Source organism: Homo sapiens, chromosome 18 (assembly GCF_000001405.40).
Source record: "Homo sapiens chromosome 18, GRCh38.p14 Primary Assembly".
NCBI classification, from domain to species: domain Eukaryota; kingdom Metazoa; phylum Chordata; class Mammalia; order Primates; family Hominidae; genus Homo; species Homo sapiens.
This window is the reverse complement of record NC_000018.10, coordinates 33,207,015-33,233,653: the sequence shown is the minus strand read 5'-3', so window position 1 is coordinate 33,233,653 and position 26,639 is coordinate 33,207,015. Positions and strand designations below refer to the sequence as shown.

At 34.8% G+C, this 26,639-nt stretch overlaps 1 protein-coding gene across 8 annotated transcripts in view, besides 1 other annotated feature; it reads left to right on the top strand.

Annotated features, from left to right (window-relative positions):
• Window positions 1-26,639, top strand: part of CCDC178 (coiled-coil domain containing 178) — a 503,635-nt gene that overhangs the window by 207,387 nt on the left and 269,609 nt on the right. For 7 of the 8 annotated variants that reach the window (NM_001371120.1, XM_011525951.2, NM_001308126.3 and 4 more), the window contains 5 exons: window positions 6,799-6,861; window positions 8,718-8,879; window positions 10,435-10,548; window positions 17,959-18,104; window positions 21,599-21,758. In NM_001371120.1, the coding sequence (NP_001358049.1) occupies window positions 6,799-6,861; window positions 8,718-8,879; window positions 10,435-10,548; window positions 17,959-18,104; window positions 21,599-21,758 (645 nt within the window). The remainder of the gene's footprint in view (window positions 1-6,798; window positions 6,862-8,717; window positions 8,880-10,434; window positions 10,549-17,958; window positions 18,105-21,598; window positions 21,759-26,639) is intronic. The other variant, NM_198995.3, reaches the window with a different exon arrangement.
• Window positions 1,815-2,109: an enhancer, noted in NCBI's record as "tiled region #1696; K562 Activating non-DNase unmatched - State 13:Ctcf". NCBI's record gives its function as "activates a minimal TATA promoter and a strong SV40 promoter by Sharpr-MPRA in K562 cells {active_cell/tissue: K562}" and the evidence as "EXISTENCE:reporter gene assay evidence [ECO:0000049][PMID:27701403]".

The window sequence follows — 26,639 nt, the reverse complement described above, 5'->3', positions numbered from 1 at the left end:
TTAGGCATAAGTAGCATAAAAATACTCCTATAGCGTGAGGCTACCTTTGTTGTTCAGGATAAAAAAAAAACAATCTTTAACAACTTACCTACATATTTTACTCTTAAGTCTGTCTCCCAGTAATTGTGATAAATGCGTGGGTTCTAAACAACACGTTGAACATAATGATAGTTATTTGTTGAGTACTTAATATGAGTGATGCCTTAAGCATATTACTTTATATACATTTTCTTCTTTTACCTCCCATACTTATTTTATGAAAAAAAGTGTTATCCCAATTTTACATATATAAAAACTGATATTTGATACTGGTAAAGATATTTTGCTATAACAACTCATAGGTGCTCAAGTATCCAATTCAGTGTAAATTAGAGCTTTCTGGAAAGCAATTCATCAATAGATGTAAAAAACCTAACATTCATAATCTGTAACTCAGTAACATTATTTCTAAAAATACAACTTTAAGAAAGTAACCAAGAACAAAGCCAACAGAGATGCAGGTTTAAGGATGTTTATTAACAGTTAACGTAACAGCCACTGAAAACATGGTTCATGAGGTCAACAATAATTGTTTATTTTGTATACACTGCTGCATTCCAGTGCTTAAACAGTGCTTATACAGATACTCAATAAATATTTATGGAAACCATGAATATATACTAATAACATATAATAGGAAATTTTAAATATACAAATTTCTCAATAATAGAATAGTGTTTAAATCTATGAGTATTAAGATAAATTATAAATTCATTCAATGTAGAATTTTTAAAAATTAATGAGACTTCTGCTTTTGTAGTAGATGAGAAAGATCTTGTTAGACTGACTCTACCAGAGATAATAACTTTAAATTCAGGACCTAAAAAAGAAATGACACCAAAAAGTCAAAATGCGTATCTGTGGATTTGAATATTTGTATTATTTCTTTTTGTAATTTAAAATATTTCACCAGAAACACATATACTTTCGTACAAAAAGAAAGATAACATAGTGTCATGTCCTATTTTCAGATAGAATCAGGTTGGGCTGCCACCTATACTTTCTGTTAGGGTCCTGGCCACCAAAATGTTTCCTAATAATGCACAACCATAGCCAGAGATACCTGGTCCCACTAATTCAGTCCAGCCCATAGTCACTTAAACATATCTCAAATTTTGCTTTAAGATTGTAATTCTTTAGAGTATCCATCTTCCTTTCCTGATCTCAAACCTTACATAACATAAATTCTCTAACTTTGCTCTTAGTGCTTCTCTGTCACTGGAAATGAAACTGAAGCCATTTCTTTGATTCTGATGTTAGATCTGTTTATGTAGTGTTGCTCCCTTTTTCTCTTTGAATGTGGGTTTCCGGACTCAGTATTGACTGTTTGTCCTCCTTTCAGCTATCTTTTGTCCTAGTACAGGAATCTATTCCAGCAGTGTAGCTCTCTGCTGCCACCTTCTGGTTTGTGACTGCTAAAACCAGGCTGCAGGTCAAAGGTGACTGTTGAATGTGCCCTCTTTCCAGCTTCTGAGATATTGTCACTTCCTTTGCTCCAGGCTTCTTCCAAGCTCTTCAAAGTGATCCTTTGATCTCTTTTATTCCTTTTCTCCAAAACCAGAATTGAGTCGTTGTGACAGAGACCTTAATCCGCAAAGCTTAAAATATTTACTATCTGGCCCTTTACAAAAAAAGTTTGCCATCTCTGTTCTAAAGAACACAGGAATAGCAAATGTAGGCAGCAGCCAGTGCCTGGAGGGCTGAGAGAAAGCACCCTAAGAAGGAACAAGCATGGAAGAGGCTGCTCTCTCCCAAGCAGAGTGAAGCTTTATTGGAGAGGGTGGGGTTGTGTCTCAACATAGGGTTCAGCAGCAGCTATCTGCGTGTTGCTGGAGAGACTTGATGGAGGTGGAATGGAGTTTGTGGGCAGAGAACCTCCCCACACACCAGCTGGTGGCAGTTCTGCAGGAGAATGGAGAAAATAACAACGGTCCACTGGAACAAGGAACCAGGACACAGCGCCCCTTGCTGCTGCAGCTCTGCCTGCCTGTCCCCTGCCCTCTGTTGATAAAGCCTAGCTTTACTCCAAAAGTAAAACTGCAAAAGGAAACTGCTCACAGGATCCACCTCCATTATCACAGATCAGAGTTAAAAACAGTAGATTTGGAGCTAAGAGGCAATAATTAGATAATGAGCACAAATGCATAGTCTACATGCAAATTTCTCTATTTCAATTGGTTGGTATATGTCATTGAGCCCCATGCATTGTATTTATCTGTTATAACTTTTGAGTCTCTTTTAATCTTAAAAAATCTCTACCTTTTTTTTAAAAAGTTGTCTTTCACTACGTTACATTTTTAAGAGTCTAGGCCAGTTACTTTGCAGGATTTTTCTCAATATGGATTTATCCTTTTGTTTCTTCATAATTAGATACAAGTTAAACACATCTGGCAGGAATATAACATAATTACAATAATATAATATTGTGTCCACAAGCACATGGTCTATGTTTGTCTCATTATCAGTGATATTAAGTTTGATCAGTTGGTTAAAGTTATGGTCAAGAAATGTATTCATTTCCCCATTGTAATTAATAAGTAATCAATTGAGTGATATTTAAGAATACATGGCTATTTTTTCCCAACACATTTCACCCAGTGGATTTAGAATCTATCAGTGATCCTTAGTAGAATCCATTATTGGAACAGTTGCTAAGTGGCAATTTTTCTGGGCTTTCGTTCCCTTTACAATGAATTGGCAATTTGAAGAACTTGAACGTTTAGCACAAGCTGGGCCACAGGCCACGTTTCTGGAGAAGGCAGTCTTCCTTCAGTGCTTTTTCAGGTATTTATACTTTAGGAATATATATTGCATGCAATCCTAAGTCAGAATCAACCTCACTGTCTTTTCTACCACCTGTCCCATCTCTCCACATCTCAGGAAAAACATCTCAAAGGCCTTGTTGTATCATCCATCTTAAAGATGCTATATATAAATGTGATTGTGACGTTGTAATGGGCCCTGAGCTTCTCCTCATATAAAGATTTTTTTTAAAAAATAACATCTTTTTAATTTGAAAGAATCTGAAACTTTTACAATTTAATTCCCCAACCTAGAGATCAAAAGCAAGCTTGTTTGTTAATCATAAACCCATTTGCTCAATAAATTATTCATTTGGCAAATATTATATAACAGACAAAGTGCTAGCAGCCAAGGAGATAGAGGAGGGAGCTTACTGTGAAGAGCTGTAGAATGTGTCCAGGCTCTAGTAGCAGGCAGTCCTGGTGCTGATACATGTTTGAAGACTGGTCCTGTGACAAATTCCATGACCTTAGACCTCGGTTTTATCATATTTGAAAGTGGATAATAGCTATTTCACTAATGGATATGATAATTAACTTACACACACACACACACACACACACACAGCCTCTGAGTTAATGTGGTTCCACTTACAGTTTTTCAACTTTACCATGGTGTGAAAGTGATGCATATTCAGTGGAGACCATACTTTGAGCACTCATACAGCCATTCTGTTTTTCTCTCTCTCAGTATGGCATTCGATAAATTACGTGAGCTATTCAACATGTTATTATAAAATAGCCTTAGGTTAGAGGATTTTGCCCAATGTAGGCAATCAGTATTTCACTAAGCAGACCACACTATAGTTCTTGTGACATTTTTCCTCTTGGTAATTTGAACTCATTTAACCCTGGCTTTTTCTCAGCAGCTACATAATTCATGTTGAATAATGAAAGGTAGTATCTCCCCAGGAGCCCATAAGTTTCTAGCAGATTCCATTTTAGAACCAACTATGGCATCACTAGCTAATTGGAACCCTTTCACCCAAAGTCTCAGTTCTTCAGTCTCAACTATAGGTGGCTAAGATTCAGAATTCAAAGAGGTGTCCCATTTGCCTGGAAAGCCTCATGTTAAAGGAGGCCCTACAAGAAAAGGGGCACATGAGAGTCAGAAGGCTCTACATTAAATATTCCTATAACTTTGAGGGTTCCTACATATCTGGGTGTCACTGAGATGCTCTCTGTCACATTGTGTAAATTAGTATCCTGGTTCCATCAATTGCCAGCTTTGTGTGCTTGGTCAATTTATGTAATCTCTCTGTCAGTTTTCCTATGTGCAAAAGGGACAATCATAACTATTTTATAGATTTCATTGTGAAGTTAAGACAAGATAATTCTACCAGAAAGCATATAATGTATCTTAGCCATCATTACTAGGAGTAGTACAAATGGTAGTTTTATCATTGAGGGAACACATGGCATTTATATTGTTATGTGAATGTAACTGCCCAGATTCTCCTTCAGGAATCATCTCAGTCACTTTGCTTAAGGTCATTCCTGTTCCTGGGGTAGCTCACATTTAATGACCAATAAAAATAGAATGATAGCCTTGCTACCTTAGTCCAACTTGGGGCAAATCTGATGGTCCATTATTGCTCATGGTTTGCTGTGGAGTTGATCGAGGTTGTTGTTGGGAGTCTATGGCAGCTCAGCCTATGTTTCTGTCCAATCCTGCTTCATTCCTCTCCTGTCCACAGGAGTTGATTCCAAATATGCTCCTTAATAAGTATCCTATACACTAAACTTAACTCTAGAGTCAGCTTTACAGGGAACAATGCCTGTGATAATAGGATGGGAAAACAAATAAATCCCCTCTCTCAGATGTTGGACCTGTAATCTAAGACCTTTGACCATCAGAGCTCTCCCTGTATCAGTCTTTGGGGTACTCTGTGGTGTTTTGAAAGTATTCAGTAGTTCTCTCAGAAACTGTGTAGCCTCTTGGCATTTTCCCAGTGCTTTGGGTAGACCATTTTCTGTAAAGAGGACCGTCTCATAGGAAGGCCTTGAGCATCTGCCTGGAAACACTCCCTGTGGTGTTGGGTCTTGTGTAAGTATGCAATTGGCAGCCCAGCCAGTGATAAATACTTTCTCTCCTGGTGACTGGTCATTTAACCTGGCTGTCTGGATCACAGAGGTTTGGGGGCATGGTAGAAAATGGAGCTTGGTAAAGTTCTTTGAGACGCTAGACAGAAGCTCCAGATGTTTTGCCCATGCAGTGTACAAATTTGTCCACTGGTAACAGGCTGAGTTGGTTTTGTACACAGATTTCAAATGTAGTATCTTTCTTCTTTTCAGAGAAATACAAGTGTCTTATTCTTGCAGCTTCAGGCTTCTTATCTATTTAAATGTCTCATATACTGCCTGCAGTTCTTTCCAAGCCACACATCCACAAGTTCTTTTCAAACAATATTAATTTATCCAATTTAAGTGACTTGAATTCATTTCAATAATAACTTGCTTTCTCACTAGTTGACAATTAAAAAAACAAACAAAAAAACTTCAAAGAATGAATGGATGAGTGAATATTAAGGAAACACAAATGAATCAATCCATATTGTAACCAGAGTGATCTAAAACACACACTTTGCTTACCATTCTTCACTAATTTTATTAATGTACCTGGAAGGTTCTGCATAATCTAAGAGTTGTTTGTTTCTTCAGCTTCACCTCATTCACCAAGTCTTTTCTCTAACACATAAAACACAACAAAAGCACACATGCCCATACATACACATTTTTCAATTAGTTTCAGACAAAGGTCAAATCGAGCTATTTTGGAATATGATATATTTTTCTCCAGTCTACAAAGCCATTTTGAATTTTGTTCCATTTCTATTAAATAATAAACAAACTGAAAAACTGTGCTGTATCTGCTATCATGTTAGAAGAGGTCGCTAATCTATTTAAAATTATCAAAACGTATTGTTGCATAAATTCATTTTAGATGTAGATATATCCTTAAGTAAAATGATATATCAAAGTTACTGCTTTATTTACCACCTTCATGTTTCCTTCTTTGGAATTATTCTTTTGCTTGAGGTAAACATAATTTTGCTGGTTTGCTATATTGAGTAGAGAAAGTGTTAGAGCAGAGGCCTGCTGGCTTGTTTCTTTGTATTGTCTCTATAGACCCTGGGATATGATGAGGGATTCAGTATTGAAGTAGGGGTATCAGAGACATTTCTGAATTTTTATTGTTCCTCCTTGCAAAACTATGTGTGTGTGTGTGTGTGTATATATATATATATATATATATACACACACACACACACACACACACATACATATATCTTTTGAATCTGGAGGACATCCTAAATCCCAGCCAACTCCTCCCTCAAATCAGGGGTTCCAAGATGTAATTTTAAGACAGAAGGAACTTTATGAACTACTTCCAATTCTGGTTTTGCGTGATAATTTAAAGCAAATCTATGAACAATTTACAACAATTTTTCCAGGTAGCAAAGAAAAGATTTTTCCAAATTTTTTCCCTACAAACTTGAAAGGTATGATTTAAAAAAAAAAAAAAGGAATTGTTCTAGCTAAATGGAGAGTCTGCTCTTATTTTGCACACTTCACACTTGACTTGCATCTATCTTGTTTTGAAAGTTGATTGTGTTTATTCCAGAAAGTAATATTAAAAACAAACTGATAGTTTTTAAAAGGAGAAATTGATGACTACCTTGTTTCACTTTCTTATTACTTTGATTTTTTAAGTTTAGGACTATAAAATGCAAACTGGAAAGACTGAAATTTTGTAGTCTAATTCCTGGTGCTGTACCACTTAATTACTTTACCTCGAAAAACACCAGGATTTTAAAAATACATATAATAAATTATAATTAATATTTTACTCTATATTGAAACATTAAAAATGTGTCTTATATTAGCAATTGTTTTAAAAAATGTTTTTGATGTTTTATGAAGAAAATCCTCATTTTAAAAATTTCCTAACATATAGGGTAGAGAAGAATTCCTGAAAAAACTCACTCAAGGTGAAGTGGCTGCTGGAATGGTGCTTCAGGTAATACTGATTTGGTTTTAATATTTTATTCTTCCTTTAATTTGCATTTTACTTAGCATTTTAAATTTGCCTGTAATGAGGCATCTTGTCACTACTTGGTTTGCAAGCCAGCAGTTTTCTCTCCTTAGCTGATGGCAGTTGCCCTCTGTGTACAACCAGCAGTGTCTGATCATGCATAAAGAAATTGACCTCCCATATACATATCTCATTTTGTGGCATAATGGGAATTTCTGCCAGTCTAGTAAAAGAGCAGTGGGATCTTATTTTTAAGTGTCTGACTCTTTAGTTTGCTTTGTGGTGATGTTATGTTTTCTTTACTGTTAGTGTCTTTCACTTGGATTTGTTTATTTAACCCTGAAAGAAAAATATGCTTTGATACTTCCATATAGAGATTTTGAAAATAAAGCATGTAAGCTGGCAAAAACAACTTGAATTTTTAAAATCTTTGTCTACCACCTGCATATCCTTTGGAATCCAGATTGGGTTTTTTGATCCATGCCGTGTTTCTAGAATGCCTCCCCTTTAGAAATACTTACATATTTGAAATTAGTATTATTATTATAAGAAAAAAAACAAGAGTCAAAACAGTTTCAGTGTTTTTGTTTGTTGGTGGGTTTCTGTTTTTGTTTTTTTGAGAAAGAGTCTTGCTCTGTCGCCAGGCTGGAGTGCAGTGGCACGATCTTGGCTCACCATAACCTCTGCCTCCCAGGTTCAAGTGATTCTCCTGCCTCAGCCTCCCGAGTAGCTGGGATTACAGGCATGCACCACCATGCCCAGCTAATTTTGTATTTTTAGTAGAGACAGGGTTTCTCCATTTTGGTCAGGCTGGTCTCGAACTCCTGACCTCAGGTGATCCGCCTGCCTCAGCCTCCCAAAGTGCTGGGATTACAGGCGTGAGCCACCACGCCCGGCCCTAACAGTGTTTTTTGAGATGATCTACACCTCTGCTTCTCTTGGAAGTAAACCTAAATTTTGTAATTTTTTTCTGTTATGAAATTTGGCATTTTCAAACATAGAAGCAGTGTTTGCTTCTATATGTTTCAAAACACTAAACTTCCTCATTTATTTCTATACGTATGTTTTATTTCTAAGTGTCTAACTGGAAAGACCTGTTAGTTGGTTTTGTCTTATATTGCAGTACTTGCATATATTCCACGATGTGTTATTAGTGTGTTCTCTAACTTGGTGTCCTCCAATCCTTACTTAAGAATGATTGATTTTGACATTTTGGGCTGGGAAATATTTTTTTAAATGTTTGATTTTTATTGTCTATTAAAGTGTTTCTCTCATTCCTTCTAACAATAACTGTATTATCTTTAAATATACTACATTCGGCAGTGTGTGGTGGCTCACGCCTGTAATCCCAGCACTTTGGGAGGCCAAGGCGGGTGGATCGCTTGAGGTCAGGAGTTCGAGACCAGCCTGGCCAACATGGCAAAACCCCTTATCTATTAAAAATACAAAAATTAGCCGGGCATGGTACAGGCCTGTAATTCCAGCTACTGAGAAGGCTGAGGCAGAAGAATCGCTTATACCCGGGAGGTGGAGGTTGTAGTGAACAGAGATTATGCCACTGAACTCCAGGCTGGGTGACAGAGCAAGACTCTGCCTCAAAAAATTTAAAAAAAGCATATATATATTATATTATATTACATCCATGAGATTTTTGGATATTATAATATATGTAATATAATATATGTAATATATATTACATTCGTATCCATTTTTTATGGTGACATTTATTGTATTATTTGATTTTCAAATAAAAACAAATATTACTGCCTGTCACTGAATAAGAGGCTCAATAAATGTTTAAGTTAATAACTGAATGATTTATTTAAAATCTTTGCTGGCAGAAAAAACTATATTCCATTTACGAAGTCCAGGCACTTGAGCGGAAAGAGCTTATAAAAAATAGAGCAATATGTGCCATGTCACTGGCAGAACTACAGGAACCTCTGCTTCAACTAGAAGATGAAGCTGAAAGAATCAGAAGTCTCGACAAAGAACATTCTGTTGTAAGCATTTAATTAATCCAAAAATTAATGTGCAGAAATATATACGTTAGTAAGTTACGCATGTGATTTTACATTATCATTTGGGAAATTATGATTTCACATAGGGGCAAACTAAGTAACTATTTCAGGACCACGCAACTTGATCTGCAGTGAAACTCTATAGCAAGACCATTAATGCTATTATCTAGAACCCCATAGTCTTAGAGGGTACTTGGGAAAAGCAGGTTTCAAGTGCGTGAGTAGTGACTTATCTGGTGTGAACGTTCATTATGTTAAACTTGATTCAAAGTCTTCACTCCTTCTTAATGAAATCCTAAAGTTGTGCTCATTTGCATATAAAATGTAAGAGATCTTGACATTTTCATGGTAAATTTTTGATGCATGTAGATGTTTAGACAGCTAGGATGAAAAATAAAGCAAATGTTGATAAAATATTTTCAAAATTACAAGTTTATGGCAGTAACTGATATCACTAGCCCTTCCCAAAGAAAAATTTAGTCGAAAAACATGTATTAATCCTGTCATTAGTCTTTTGGAGAACTAGAGGGTGTGGCAAGAGTTATACATTCTTGTCCTTCCCTGCAGGGAGGCCATACATATATTTATTTGAGACATTTCGGCACCAGAACTTTTTTCCTTTGCAAATAATAATGTAACTTTATATTTTTAGTCTTTGATAATTTTCAAAATGTCTTTATTTCTTAAAATTGTGATTTAAAAAGTGTTTCTATTTTAAAAGTTTATTTTGAGCTTCAAAGCCTTCCTATGAAATAGGCAAGAGGGAGTTTACTGGTATCAAAGACTTGAGAAAACTTGTGCTTAAAGAGCCTGAGCAACGTGTATAAGGTCATGAAGCATGGAAACAACAAATTCCGAGTACCACTGTATTTAGGGTTTCTAAATGCTATCATCATGCTCCTGCAAAGAATGTATAACCAGTACAAACATCTAGTGGGATAAATGATTTTAATGATGGCTCCCCCTTACATTAATGATGGAAATTTATTAATTGCATCAAAAGCCTAAGTGAGGTTGTCTGAGTACAATAATGAATTCCAGAAAAGATTAATGATCTTTGTTTCCTGTTATTTTATAACAGCCATGGTTTTACATCTTCTTGTAGTTCAGTAATCATTTTTGGTTTGATTATATTTTAATAGTTAATAAATTATAAGAATTAATAATTTAGCACACAGTAAGGAAGAATAAGTTTTTACATACTTTTTGGTAGTGATTGCTTACTATTTGTATTTGGAGTTTTAGTTTTGATTAAAACAAATATTATAACAAATATTCATACTTTCTATGTAAGCTTATTTATTTTTGTTACTTAACTAAAATTCATTAGATTTTGGCTTTCTCACATAGTGCAAATAGAATATTGAAATTTTTGGATATACAGTATATTTCTGTAATTTATGTGTGATGGTTCTTTCCCTTTATTTGCCAAAATAAATGCTGTTGTTATTAAAATAGTCACTTAAGTACGATTTGGCCTAAATGAGGATAACTGGGTTGCAAATGCTGCACATCTTAATATCTGAATGTCTTCTAGATGCTTAATAATATAATTGATCAGAAAGATCTTATTAGAAGAAAGGTGGGAAAAGTAAAGAAAAAATTACGAAAAAAGGGGAAGAAAACCCTTGATGCATTAATAGAAACTGAGGTAAGAATTTAAGTTCAGAATCTAATTTTGAATTTACAGTTTATGTATGTCAGTGAAAACTATTCAAGCAAGTTTAATTTTAAATGAATGTGTCTCATTTCTTATTGATTGCACTAAATCGACTAGGGATAAAAGCGCACACACTCACACACACACAGTCCTTGTGTTTTCATTTACTTTCTCTTGCAGTATCTTCCTCACTGGTCTAGTTTATCAGGGACATAGCTCCTAATCAGGATAAATACAAGGAAAATTAGATATTGGATTCATGCAGAAGTCTACTGCTTTCTGTGATGGCCATGCTGTCTCCTTTTACTTGGAGATTAAAAACCAAAAAAAAATGAAGAAGAAGAAAAGAAATAAAAAGGAAAGAAAACAAGAAAGAACAGAGGGAGAAAAGGAAGGAAAAGGGGAATTGCTATGGTCTGAATGTTTGTGTTCCCCCAAAATTCATATGTTGAAACATAATCCCCAATAAGAGGCTAGGCCAGAGGTGATTAGATTATGAGAGCTCGTTGGGATTAGTGCCCCTATAAGAGAGGCCCCAAGAATCTTGCTGGCCCCTTCTACCACATGAGTATGAAGGAAGAAGACACCATCTTTGAAGCAGAGGGTGAAGCTTCATGAGACACCAAATCTGTTGTTGCCTAGTTCTTGGATTGCTTAGCTCTAGAACTTTAAGACATACATTTCTATGGTTTATAAAGTACTCATTCTAAGGCGTTTTGTTGTAACAGCCTAAACAAACTAAGACAGGAAGAAAGAAAATGAAGGAAGGAAGGGAGGGAAGAAGGGAGGAAGGAAGGAAAGGAAGGAAGGAAGGAAGGAAAGAAGGAAGGAGGCAGGAAAGGAGGGAGGGAGGGAAGGAAGGAAGAAAGGAAGGGAGGGAGGAAGGAAGGAAGAAGTCAAAATTAAACAATAAAAAATAGCATGATTACACTTTTGTTAAACGGCTAGAATCTTCTATTGACATATGTCTACTGTTTTACCCCCAAATTATCAATCTGACACTCTGAAACTATAAAATATCACATTTAATATAAACATGCTTAAACTAGTGAGCATTTTCTTTTCAGTTAGAGAACTTAGAATCACTAATGTAATTTAATTATTTTTATATTAATATTGTATCATATAATTTGACTATACATTTTAATATTCCAAAAGATAACTTAAAATCATATACATAATTCTTTAAATTTTAAGCCAACTACTACTAAGATTTTGTTCTTAGAAAGCATCTTCACTTAGCCAATTAAGGTCAGCTTTTTCTATTCATCTTACTAGTGGTTTTGTACACAAAGCCTTTATTTAGTTGTCAGTTAAAATAAAGGATTGACTTTCATAGTAAAATGATACTCTGTTTTGCCAGGGAAAAGACCTTCACTGGCTTTGCTTTTGATGAGGAGAGCTTAAAGCAGAAGGTTTTTAAATTATGTGATTCCCTATGGGAGTCACAGCTTACAAAAGAAGTATAGTTCAAGAGCCAAAAAATAATTTTAAAATAATTTACTTTTATTTGCATTTTATAAAGGACACTGTGACCAGAACTGTAATGGTATCCTCATCACTCCCAAGGGACGCTCCTTATACATACCTCTTTGCCTTTCCGCCCAGTATTCTCACACACTACAGGCACTAAGTGTCTCATCAATTTTCTGAAAAGTCACCCTTCCTATTTATCTCATGTCCATCTATCTCTTTCCCTCTTTTACTGAGCTTTGTAGCAAGAATATTTTAATATAGCAGTTGGGCAAAGGCAAGACTCACTTCTTCAATAGAGGTGGGACTAGAGCCCAAACTCGACTGTTAGAGTCAGCTTACTTTTTAGCCAAAAGAAGGAGAGAAAAGTCAAAGAGCACTGCAAGTTTAATGCTGTTGTCTTCTGCATGAACTCAGTGCCTACTAGGTCTGTTAGGCACTATATTCACATCTTCAGGTGAAAGAGAGTGTAGCTTCTCTGAGGAAGATGACTGAGAGTGCGCGAGGCTGTGGACAGGGAGTAGACTTCACCCCTTGTGAGAAAAAATGAAGTGAGTGAATTGCAGGGTTCATGGGCTATATTTGGTGTAGACTTCATAACAGTAAACAGCTCCATCCCTGTCTGGTACGCAGGGCTTTGTGGGTTTCTCTGAATAGGCAAATGCTTAAATACATTCAAGTATACTTAAGAGAGTATCCTTGGTAGTGGCACTTCTCGCACACTAGAATTTGGGAATTAGGAGTCATAAGTGGAAGTTGTGATTATTACAGCAGTGAAAAATGACTGGTTCAATTCAGAGCAGAAAAGAAAATCATTTTCCCAGCATGGGTATTATCTTCAGCCAATGTTATCAGTAGAAGTCAGGTAGGTCAGCTACCTCTTATGAACTTCATTAATTATTATCAACGTCATTTATTAATGTTGATTTCAATGTGCTGACAAAGGGCAAACACACGGCTCAGATCATTTCATTGAATTCTCACAGCAACCCTGTGAAGTACTTAGTATTGCATTTATATAAATTAAAAGCTGAGGTTTATAGAGGTTAAATTCCCAAGTAGCAAGAATCCCCTTCTGTCCAATCTCAAAACTCATGCATGCCAATACCTACTATGTATAGTAAAATCTCATGTAATTTCTTTTAGCAGCAGTGACCAAAAAGCAAGGGCCAGTTTTGGTATAGAGAAAATAGTAAAGGCTTTGGAGTCAGAGAAATCTAGTGTTTAACCAGTCATCACCACTTAAACTAGCTGTACCATCCAGACTATTCTGGATTTTCTATTGTAAAATGGATATAACATTGATTATATTGCTACTGTGAGTCATAAAAGGCACAGTTCAAATACAATGCATAGTACAGTAATCGGTGCATTGTAACACCCACTGATTGCTCCCTTACCCCCATTGCCTTTTCTACAAAGTAGAGACTGGGATTTGTTCTCTACCAGAGAGTATTGTGTTTCTGCAGATGGGAGCAATCTACAGACCAAAACATTTGTTCCTACCTGACATCTAAATTTTACCCCCAAGTTAGTATGTATTCAGCATAAACAAATGGATGTGTGACTGGAGACTTTAGGGCTTTTTCCAAATTAGAAATATTTCCCCATGAAAGTTCTTATTGCTAACATTTCTAACTCGTGAATTATTGGCTGTAGGAAAGGGGAGAAAGTCAATATTGTCTTTATTATTATTATCATTATTATACTTTAAGTTCTAGGGTACATGTGCACAATGTGCAGGTTTGTTTATGTATACATGTGCCATGTAGGTATGCTGCACCCATTAACTCGTCATTTACATTAGGTATATCTCCTAATGCTATCCCTCCCTCCACCCCCAACCCCATGACAGGCTCCGGTGTGTGATGTTCCCTACCCTGTGTCCAAGTGTTCTCATTGTTCAATTCCCACCTATGAGTGAGAACATGTGGTGTTTGGTTTTCTGTCCTTGTGATAGTTTGCTGAGAATGATGGCTTACAGCTTCATCCATGTCCCTACAAAGGACATGAACTCATCCTTTTTATGGCTGCATAGTATTCCATGGTGTATATGTGCCACATTTTCTTAATCCAGTCTATCATTGATGGACATTTGGATTGGTTCCAAGTCTTTGCTATTGTGAATAGTGCCGCAATAAACATACGTGTGAATGTGTCTTTATAGCACCATGATTTATAATCCTTTGGGTATATACCCAGTAATGGGATGGCTGGGTCAAATGGTATTTCTAGTTCTAGATCCTTGAGGAATTGCCACACTGTCTTCCACAATGGTTGAACTAGTTTACAGTCCCACCAACAGTGTAAAAGTGTTCCTGTTTCTCCACATCCTCTCCAGCACCTGTTGTTTCCTGACTTTTTAATGATTGCCATTCTAACTGGTGTGAGATGGTATCTCATTGTGATATTGATTTGCATTTCTCTGATGTCCAGTGATGATGAGCATTTTTTCATGTGAAGGACCTCTTCAAGGAGAACTACAAACCACTGCTCAATGAAATAAAAGAGGACACAATAAATGGAAGAACATTCCATGTTGATCGATAGGAATAATCAGTATTGTGAAAACTGCCATACTGCCCAAAGTAATTTATAGATTCAATGCCATCCCCATCAAGCTACCAATGACTTTCTTCACAGAATTGGAAAAAACTACTTTAAAGTTCATATGGAACCAAAAAAGAGCCCACATTGCCAAGACAATCCTAAGCCAAAAGAGCAAAGCTAGAGGCGTCACGCTACCTGACTTCAAACTATACTACAAGGCCACAGTAACCAAAACAGCATGGTATTGATACCAAAACAGAGATAGAGACCAATGGAACAGAGCAGAGCCCTCAGAAATAATTCCACAGATCTACAACCATCTGATCTTTGACAAACCTGGCAAAAACAAGAAATGGGGAAAGGATTCCCTATTTAGTAAATGGTACTGGGAAAACTGGCTAGCCATAGGTAGAAAGCTGAAACTGGATCCCTTCCTTATACCTTATACAAAAATTAATTCAAGATGGATTAAAGACTTAAATGTTAGACCTAAAACCATAAAAACCCTAGAAAAAAACCTAGGCAATACCATTCAGGACATAGGCATTGGCAAGTACTTCATGACTAAAACACCAAAAGCAATGGCAACAAAAGCCAAAATAGACAACTGGGATCTAATTAAACTAAAGAGCTTCTGCACAGCAAAAGAAACTACCATCAGAGTGAACAGGCAACCTACAGAATGGGAGGAAATTTTTACAATCTACCCATCTGACAAAGGGCTAATATCCAGAATCTACAAAGAACTTAAACAAATTTACGAGAAAAAATCAAATGACTCTATCAAAAAGTGGGTGAAGGATATGAGCAGACACTTCTCAAAGGAAGACATTTAAGCAGCCAATATTGTTTTTAACCTAGTAATATGTCCTCTAGATGTATGTCAAATGTGGTTCCAATAGGATTTGTTGGTGGAAAGCATGTGGGCCATGAGAGAGAGGTGTCCTCATATCATTTTTTAAATGTTTGTCTTATAATGGGCCTCAAAAGAAATATTTAAAAAATTACAGAGAAAATAATAGATATTTGCTGCATGTTTTATGTGTGTCAGGCATTGTTTTAAGTGCACAGACATAACAGCACATCATTTCATTTTCATGATAAGCCTATGAAGAGTGTGCTATTACCTCTATCTTACAGTTGAGAAATCTGATGCTTTGTTTCTTAATTAACTTGTACAGGTTCACATAACTCATTAGTGGTAAAGTTGCAATTCCAACCCAGACAGTCTGACACTGAAATAGATGCTCTTAACCATTATATTGTATTGGTCATGTCACCCAAGTTTGCATACAATGAATTAAAATCAGAAATCAATGACAAAAATACAGGGCAAAAAGAAATAAAAAGTATATGCACTACTAGAAATATTTCAGAATCACATTTCTTTTATTAATTTGCTTCTGTGCTAAGAAATAACTAAAATACAAATTACCATTTATTTATACATGACCAATAATGACAAACTATACAGCAAAATTTATGACATAGGCCAATATAGTATTTTGACATTACCAATAAATGATTTTGATTTAAAAAAAAATCTAAAAATATTTAACATATTTATTAAGGGCAAAGAAGAAAAAATGAAAATTAACAGCCATGGGAGTGATTAAAAGGGGTATAATTATATACACAGTGAATTAAATACTACTTTGCATAGGAATTTGTTTTAAGATCTATATCAATTGTATGTATGATTTCTTTATAAAATGGTGAAAACTGGGTCAAAAGAAATAAAACACAAGAATAGATCAATGATCATAGAAGAAATTTAATTTGTCCAAACTCTACCAATAAAACCAAGAATCAGTCAAGATACTTTATGAGTCTCTCTACAAATACCACTTACAGAGCATAAGAAAGCATGGAAATCTTCTAAAATCATTCTATAATGAAACTAAAACCTTGCAACCATAACCAAAAATTAATAGTGCAAGAAACAAGTCCGTTGGTGATCTTGCTTATGAGCATAGATGACCAGATCATAAATATATTAGCTAAATAAATTTTACAGTGTGCTAAAAGATATACTATGCAAAACCAGATTCCTTTGAAGAGGAGACTCTTCAGCTAAGACTAAGAAATGAATGATGAAATCTGATCTAAACGTCAAGTTTAGGGATAGAGAGCATGGAGTACTTAGAGTGTCCATACTCACACCTGTCCGCTCTCTGTCTTTGGGTTTACTTCCACCCCCACCCAAATAACTTAATACTCCAATGGACCTATCAACAAATCTTAGTTAGTTATATTTCCACTACATTCTAGTATAAGGAGAAAAAATCCTTTTATTTATCAGTAGAAAATTATCAGAACTTCCAGAAAAGGAAGGAAACAAAGCAGGAAGGATGTGAAAATTCAAATGCAGTACCCAATGTTCAAAATCTTAGACAAACAGTAAGGTTTTATAGTAAAACAAATATAAAATATTAGTTGTTATTCTTGAAATCTATGAGTAAAGAAAGTATTTGGAAGCATATGGGGAAAATAGAAGATAGTGGAGGCAGAAGGAGCCATTGAGATCTGTAGAATCAGTTGGGAGAGTAACACTAATTAGCAGCCATGCTGAATGTGGGGAACAATTCAATAACAGTCCATCAGTGAGTCACTCAGTTCCATTTGAACACAAACAGTCATAAAGGGATGACACAAAAATAGATGCACAATCAAATGTTCATTCTGGAATTGCACAGGCCTACCATGGAAAGAAGTGCTGGTAGTAAATATTGGCTTCTTTTGCTGGAAATATCAGAACAATATATATATCCTTGTCCGCCTGCCAATGCACTTTGTACATGTTTGAAAACCAGTGACGACATGTTTGCATCTTGAAATGACATGCTTATAAAGTATGCATTTAGGTGTGTGTTTGGAAAGGGGAGCAAGTTTGTGTGGGACAGAGAGAATAAACAATTTTATTTTTTAGAAAATCAGATGTAACAGTGGAGAATATAAACCTCAGTTGTTTTTTTAGAGACAGGGTCTCACTCTGTCATCTGGGCTGGAGTGCAGTGGAGCAATCATGGCTCATTGCATCCTTGACCTCCTATACTAAAGTGATCCTCCCACCTCAGCCTCCCAAGTAGCTGGGACTACAGGTGTGAAACACTGCACCTGGCTATTTAAAAAAATTTTGGGTAGAGACCAGGTGCTTGCTTTGTTGTCCAGGTTGGTCTTGAACTCCTGGCTCTAAGTGAACTCCTGGCTCCTCCTGCTTTGACTTCCCAAAGTGCTGGGATTACAGGAGTGAGCCATCAGGTGTGGCCCACTATTAACTTTTAGTTGTTCACACAGCCAATGTAATTGTGTTCCTAAATAGCAGGGATTTGAAAATCCAAGTATTTAAAATAAACACTTGTGTATATTTTTTTTCAGAGTAAACGCTCAGCAATTTTTAAAGACCTAGAAGCAACTAAAAGTAAGACAATGATTTTTTATGCAAAAATAAATGAATTGAATGAGGAATTAAAAGCAAAAGAAGAAGAAAAGAAAAGTTTTGATCAGACACTTGAAATATTAAAGTAAGTACTTAAACTTTATCAAAATATGAAGTTTTTAAAAAATATTAATAAATAAGATCAAATTTCCATATTTAAAATGCATTCTTAAAATGGTTCGTATTTTTAATTATAACGTAGTGTGGAATATATATGTGTTATTTGATAATTTTAGTTTATAAAAGCATAATCATAAACTGCTTTCATTCATTATTGCTTCTCGGGTTTGTTCTTATTTGAATAACTGGAAATGTTTCTCCCTTTCCAAGGAGGAGAACTTTATTCTTTATGACATTAATAATATTCTTCATTACTTTCAGATGTATCAGTATTTATACTCCATGTTTAATAATTTATGTTTTTTCACCCAAATGTTTTTGATTAGTTTTGAGGTAAGAGTTCAGACTCAGATATTCTATGAAACCTCGTGCAATTTATTCAAATTTATCATTTCAAAAGTTTCTTATCAGTCACCTCATGAGTCGGGGATATAATTGTTCAGGGTTAGTAAGTCCTGAGAGAATGATCATGCTCTCAGGCTCATTGGGTATCCATAGACCCTAACCTAAAACTTATTTACTCTTCCTTTACTCATTTTGCTTCTCATTTCCTATCTTGTAAAACATTGAGAACTGGACTTGGAGGAGTATTAGAGGAACATGCACTGGCCACATTTAGGGACAACAGTCTGCTTTAAATAAAGAAGGTTACTACAAGCATTAGCAAAATCATAATGCTTGAGGGATAAAGTGTCAGAAAAAATTTATGCCCAGCCTGTTGCCATGCATTCTAATGGAGTCAAGTCAATGCCCCCATCAAGCATTTGTTTAGCTATTATCATAGAGTAAAACTTATTTTCAACATGATAATTCAGCTTTATCTGAAAAACACTACTCATATTCACTATATTATGTGAAAAAGCAGGGAAACATATCATTTACTTTTAAAGATATTTATCCACCTTGTTTAATACCTGTAAGAATAGCTTGGGACTCAAAGATATAAATATAAATGTATATAACTTACATTAAAATTATAAAGATCTAATTCAGGAGCTGATGAAAATTTTTTCTTCAGGCTTCCTCCCGTTTCAATCCTAACTTCTTCTGAAGCTGGATTATATGGCCTTTCAGACAAGAGTGGTTTCCATGTCCCAGTGAATCAGTTCTCTCTCTAAACTTGACAAAGCCCTGCCTTCCAACAAGAAAAGGAGAAAAAGAATTAGCCAATACTGTGGAATTACTTATACAACTATTAATTAGCAGTGATGGTATATAATGTCAAATAATATTTAAAGCTACCGTTGAATGACTTGCTATTGTGCCAGGTACGTCCTGGACAATGTGTGTACCTTGTCTCATCCAATTCTTATAGCAAGTGGTTAAATTGTATCATTTCCAATGAATGCTGAGAAACAGAGGCTCAGGGAATCTAAGATCACACTCTTAAGTAGTGGTAGAGGTAGCTTCAGCTTAGCTCCAACCTGTTCCAAGTGTGTGCCCTTTCAACTGACCCCCTAAAGTGGGATTGCAAAGGAAGATCAGCTGTTTTATGAATAATCTACTGATATTTTCAATAAGTTCCCACAACAAGCTACTTATTATTTATTGAGAACTCATAGTGGGCATACTGCCAGGCCCCAATAAGGACTAAGAAATGGCAAGTGGGAAAGTGTATCTTCAAGTGTCTGAAGATCTTTGCAGAGAGACAAACCTTATATAAACAAGACAATTAAAATATGGTGTTAAAAATAATGGCAATCAAAGCCATCCTTGACCCTCATTTAATTTTTATAATTGCTTCTTAACTAGAAAGTGGAAAATTAAAATCCAGACCCATAGGACTTCAAAGTCCACTTGTTTTATCACTGTGAGAAAGGAAACATTATTTTATTGCATAGATATACACGTACATAGTGTATATAAATGTCTGTGTAGATATTAATACAATGCTATAATTAATATAATTCAATATCAAAACAGTGTAGAGAACAAAGTACATGTGGTCAAAATATATCAATGTTTTTTTGGGATCAACTATGAACATTTTATCGTTTTGGTCACACTAGCTCCTTCCTGTGTGAATTTCATTGGTTCTCTCTGCTCCAAGATGTCAATATCATTGGCTACTGATCAGACATCACTTAATAATTTGGAATGTTTTTGGTATGAATGATGTAGAGGAAAAACCAGGGCAAGATAGATGAAAGAGGAGAAGAACCTTATTTCCTGTAGAAGAAGAGGCTCACATCCACTAACTGTAAACAAAGTGATATGTTTTCAAATTTGCTGATAACAGCTATAACGAAGAGCAGAAAAAAATGAGTACTTAATGTTGAACTGCTGAATCAGAAAAAGGCAGGACTAGATTTGAATTCTGGTTCTGTCATTTACCAACTAGTTGAGCTTACACAAGCTAATTAATTATCCAAGTTTAGGTTCCTCAACTCTAGGTGGCTATCTCATTATTATTTCATAGAGTGGTTTTTGTTGTATTAAATGGGATATTATTTAAAAGCAGAGATATTAGTTTAGTCCTTCCCAAAATATTAGTCTTGCTGCCTTTATAGCTAACTGTGCAAGTGATTTAATTTTCTGTATCGGTAGACTTGTTAACTAATGTGGATAGAATAAGACTGTGTTGAGCTTTTTCAGATACCTTAATCTGGACACTGAGTTGCTGCTCAACTTTGGCAAGCAAGTTATTGTTACCAGTATTGTTTTAACCATGTTTTGATATTTTTCTACTAGTATTGTTCCTTACATAACTACTGAGTTCACCATAAAAGTTATTTTACCTTTGCATTATGATGTGTTTAATTGCAAATGATAAAATACAGACATGCACACACATGCATACATACACCTATTCACATACCAGCTTAAACAATAAAAAAATCTATCATCTTATGTAACAGGAAGCATAAAGCAATAAAAAATGCATCATCTTACATAACACCAGCTTAAACAATAAAAAAGGCATCATCTTACATAATTGGCAGAGCAAGCTGCAGGGTTGGTTGATTCAACAGCTCAATACCAGGCACTCATTTTTTTCTCTCTCCACTATGGCTGTTGGCAGCAACCTTGAAAGCATGATGTGTAAGTCACATTTAGTGGGTATGAGCTCTTCTACATGGAATTAAGAGCTTCTCACTCATTTCCTCGAGCTATCTTAATATAGCTTCTCGCCCCTGGACAATGGGTCATATGCTGGTTGGACTAATCAGAATATATCTCTTGGAGGAGGGGTTTTCTTGAAATGCCTAGAGAACAAAAGCATGCTGGATAGGCAACCAAGAGAATACACTGTTCTTCCATAGATTTTCTTCCACCTGGATGATTTAGATGTAGCCCTATGGAAGTAGACCTTGAGAAAAACCAGGGAATTTTTCCAAGGCCTGTCAGTTCAAGGGTCTTCAAGATTTTTCATTTTGGTCCTTTTAAAATGTCTCATAAATGCATTTTGAAAAATAAAATGTGAATTGATTAGTGGCACATGGAATTCTTTCTTCACAGGAACAAATTTATAACTATGAGATTTAAAAGGGAACATGCACAAACTGTGTTTGATCATTATATGCAAGAGAAAAAAGACTGTGAAGAGAGAATCTTTGAGGAAGATCAGAGATTTAGAGTGCTCCTTGCTGTAAGACAAAAAACTCTTCAAGATACCCAAGTGAGTATTATTTTTGCATGTTTCAAAATGAAAGGAATATAGTGATAGTCAAATTAGCAGCTAGTTTGAGACAATTTTTATCCTGAAGTAGCAAGGGTGTTAAGATTTTAAAAATAAATTTGTTAACATAATAAACCTGGAAGTTTTCATTGTTTCTTCTAAGTAATTATGATATATTCATAGAGCATATTGTACTTTTCAATGCATTTTATGTGTACTCTCATTTATTATCGTACTTTATTTTGAAGTCTATTAATATAAAAATGTAGGCTATATTTATTCCAGAGTCCTTTTATGCTTTTAATGAAGGATGTGAGAATGAGAATGGTTATCATTTGTTTCTGAATAAATATACTTTGAATGTTTACCAACCACTTTTTTGAGGAATGAAAATATGTCACGCTCTTCTCCTGTAGAAAAATTTTGCATAATATTCTAATGGACCTATAAATTTACTTGTTTGAAACAGGGAAATTGTATTAAAAGTTCTTTTAGGCCTGAACTTTTATTAATCAAATTATATTAAGCTATACCTATAAAATGTTTGCATTCAGTTAAATGATTCCTATCCCATTTTAAATTTTGCAATAGTTTTTGTTACATTTAATTGTAATGAATTAGTACCATATTTAAATTACATTTAAAAATATTACTCATTTTTGGAAGATACAAAGGGACATCTTTTCTAAGAAGCAAAAATATTTTCCGTAGTATTTTAAAACTCTTTTCTGTGAAAGTTTTCAAAGTATATGTAGTATCATAATATATGAGCTATTTTTGATCTTCATATTTATATATTCAAATATGATATTTATATATTCAATTATTATATCAATATTTCCATTACTTTCCCTACTTTTTACATATCTAAAGACGTGTGAGAACTTTTTTTTAAAGACTATTTGGAACAAATGTACATTGCATGAACAAGTATGTGGGTGAAAGAACATATCTTCTTAGTTCTATTGGTTTGTCTATAAGAAAATTATTAAGAAGAGAATAATACTTTGTTAATAACAATGCTAAGTAACATTCTTCTATTTTAAATGTGGCCATTACATTTTAGAAAAGGGTTTTCTTGACCTAAAAATATGAAAATAATTGGTGCCATCTAGTGGCAATACGTGATGCCTCTTCTTAGAGCAGTTGCTGAAACCGATGGCTGAGTTTCAGATGTGTGAGCTACGAATGGATTGGAGGAAGCTTAGACTCCAATGCACCTCTCAAAGCAAGAAGGCTTAAGTTATTTACCGATTTAAGCATTCTTCCCCACCTCACATTTTATTAGAGCAGTAGAATTAGTTATTTGAATTCAACCACATTTTCTAGTCACAGTGGTGCTGAGAACACAGTGGGGTCTCAATAATCATTTATCGACTGGCATTCCAGCACTATAATGGAACAATAATAATTAGTGAAATGGCAAAAGATGGTCAGCAGGAGAGAGATGAATAAAACATCCTCTATAACCAGCCTCTAAATTATTGAGATTTGCATTTCTTTTCATCAAAAAGCCTGTCCCTGCCTTTCTACTCCCAACTGTACCCACCCCCAGCCACTTGGAAGCATTATATGGTCTCATGATTTTTTCTGGGCACTGATCTCTATCTGAACTTGTTTTGGTAATTCATTTATACCTGTCTTTTGTCTGCCTATCTCCTGCCAGAATAATTTCTTCTCTAAGGGGAGGGAATTTTCTTTTATATCCTTTTCTGTATCCTAAAATCTCAGTACTATGTCTGGCCAGAAGTACGCAATAAATATGTGTTGAATGAATAAATAGATAGATAATAGATGCTTTTTGGATAATTTTGCTGTCCACATGCTGCTAGTAGCAAGAAGCAGGAGCATTTCAGAAATACTGTTCAAACTCCACCAGCCTGATACTCCTGATACTTTACCAAACTCATCCTGGGTGCAGAAGCTGAATCAATCTCTCTCTGTCTGTGTGTGTCTCTCTTTCTCTCTCTCTCTCTGTCTGTCTCATTCTCTTTCTTTTCCTGATACTTCCTACTCTAGTGAAAATGGTTAAATCATCTATTGCTTTCTAGCACTTAAGGATTCTGTTAACTATGTCAACAGTGCTTGTCAGATAACCTTAAATTTATATGAAGTTGTCTCTTACCAGTTTCTTGGATAGCTCTTGTTGTGCATTCACCTTATGTGACCAGAATCATAGAGTCTGAAGATGCAGAGTTTAGAGATTGATGTGCCTTATCATTAATGATGCTATTTATTTATGATTATGATCAGTTATTGAGTGTTAAATGGTGAAAAGACGATGTGATTTCTCGTAGAAACCTGATCTCATCCCTGTTTAGGAAGTGGTAAAGGTGTAAATGTGTATGTAATGTAAAGGATCCCTGCAAAGAAAAGAGTCTCATTAAAGGCATCATTATAAATGTAATGTTACTAATCTGAGGTGTTCCTTTTGGGCAAAAGAATTGATCACAATTATGGATCATCTGTAGGGATGGTTTAATAAAATACTTCATAAAAGTCACAAGAGTTAATGGAGAATATGAGAAAACACACAATAGAATTAGAAATACCAACAGCTAATAAAGGTAAGAAAATATACACAAACTTCAGATAACATACAGACAGCATGGTTCTGGAGTTAAATTTGATCTCTCTTCAGTAGGCAATTCCATATCATATATCCATAAATGGTAGATTTTTTAATAATGTCATGGCATTTTTACTAACTGTCTATAATTTGCAAATGCCATTGCTTAAGATCAAATTTTCAGTGTACCATATTCATCAGAGGACTGTAGCTCTAGCTAGTGATGTTTGTCCTTGCTTTTGGAAAGATCTATACAAAATTGTAGGTTATATATGATATAATTTGTTATGAGTTGTCCTTAGAAGACCTGCTGTATCGCCTATGTCATTTCCTTTCTCTGTGTGTTCTTTCCATAGATTTGCTGTCCCCTCTGTAATTTAGCTTATGAGAGAAATACAATGAACTACACTGGAAGAACAATTTCCAGATTGAGTTCTAGTAGAGACAATCTCCCATTCCTTGTAGAGTTAATTGCTTTTTATTCTGCTCCATATTTTCTACTCTCAGGAAATACCTCTTCCTCTGGCTATAGCAGTCCCAAATTTGGATATAAAATTATTTTTGACACTTTCATGTGGAAAAGTTTTAGCTTAATACACTGTTTCATTTGACCACCAGGTACTGGAATAGTAAACATTTCAAACAAATTTATTCTCTGAGATATTCTAAAGATTATCACAATTTGTATATTATTCTCCTATTGGTCACTCTTCATTTCTACATTCTCACAACTATTTCATGAGTATTACTGTATTCAAGGCACTCAATGTTGAATGACCGAAACCCTATACTCCATTTTCAAGACACATCAGCAGGAAGATGGAAGATTTGAAAAACAGACTTGAATATAGCGGTCACACTCAAATTATAAATATCATGACCACATCCAAATTACAAACAGTAAATTGTGGCCTTATCCACTGTTCTAAAAAAATTAGAGATTACTTTGAGTAAAAAAAATGACATATTCTGTGGTCTAAATTGTGGGAAATGAATATGTGATAAATCTGGAAACATTTAGGGGAGCTGACCAATGGATTTCCTGGGCAAGAGTTATTTGCCTTAATGACAACCTTCCTGTCGCAAAGACTATTTTACTGTAACATGAATTTTTTTTAAGTTAGGAACATGTTTTACATAATTAATATTTCTTTTAAAAGTACTTTTGATAGGATTGAGCATCAATTAATCACACACAATTATATAAATTAGGCTTATCGTATTGCTTTTTAAAAGTAACTTGTTAAAATCTATCTCTGTTTGAGGAATGAACATTTTAATTTGAAGATGGTGGCAAGAGTGCTAATTTTGTATCAGAGATTACCTCATGTTTTTGCGCAGATCCGGTGCTTCAATGATCACAAGTACTTAACAGGAGAGGGTAGCACTAGAATATAGAGGAAGGATGGGGCGTGGATATGGGTGATTCCTAAATATAAATTTAATAGATTTTGAGTGTTTCCTTAGAGCATTATCCATTAAACAAGGAAGAAGCTTCTCTTATTTGTAAATCTCTCTCTAGCATCATGTCACTCCTTGTGAATATGTGGCAGAATTACTGCTAATACTATATTAAAGTAATATCTATCTGAAATTTGAATAGATTTTTTATTTTCTGCATTGACAATCAACTACCATTTTTAGCTTTTATTTTTTTAACTACCTAGAAGCATCTATTGCAATTATTTGGCTATAGTTCAATTTTTCTAAAAATTAGTATTTTTCTTATATAGTTGTGCTAATACCCAATGAACATACTTTAGATATTATGATTTTCTCAGGGAACATTCATTTTCCATTCCCACTGGAAAATGAATGTTCCCTGAGAAAATCATATTATCACTTTTGCAATGCCTTACCCCACTGTGGAGTAACAGCAAAAATATGTAGATTTTTCTCTTGATCAACTAAAATAATTATGTTTTCAAATATCAAATTGCATTTTTAAATATACGTTAATTGGCTATGGTTTATTAAATTTTTAGTACATTACTAGATTTAATTTACAAACATTTAATTTAGAATATCTATTGGTCTATAATTCTATTTTGTACTTTTTTAAAGATATTGGAACAGAGATTTACTACAGTTTTTAAAATGAAATAGGAAGGTTTATTTAGTTCTTTTTCTATGTTAAATTGCATGGGGCATTTCAGTTCCTTAAAGGTTTGATACATTCTCTCACGATACTATCAAGATATGTGAAGGGTCTGAGATTTTACCCTGGCAAGTTAACTGGTTAGCCTGCCATAGTTTCACAGATGCTAGCAGAAGACATGAAACTCCAGCCTGAGAGACAAAGGACTTTATTA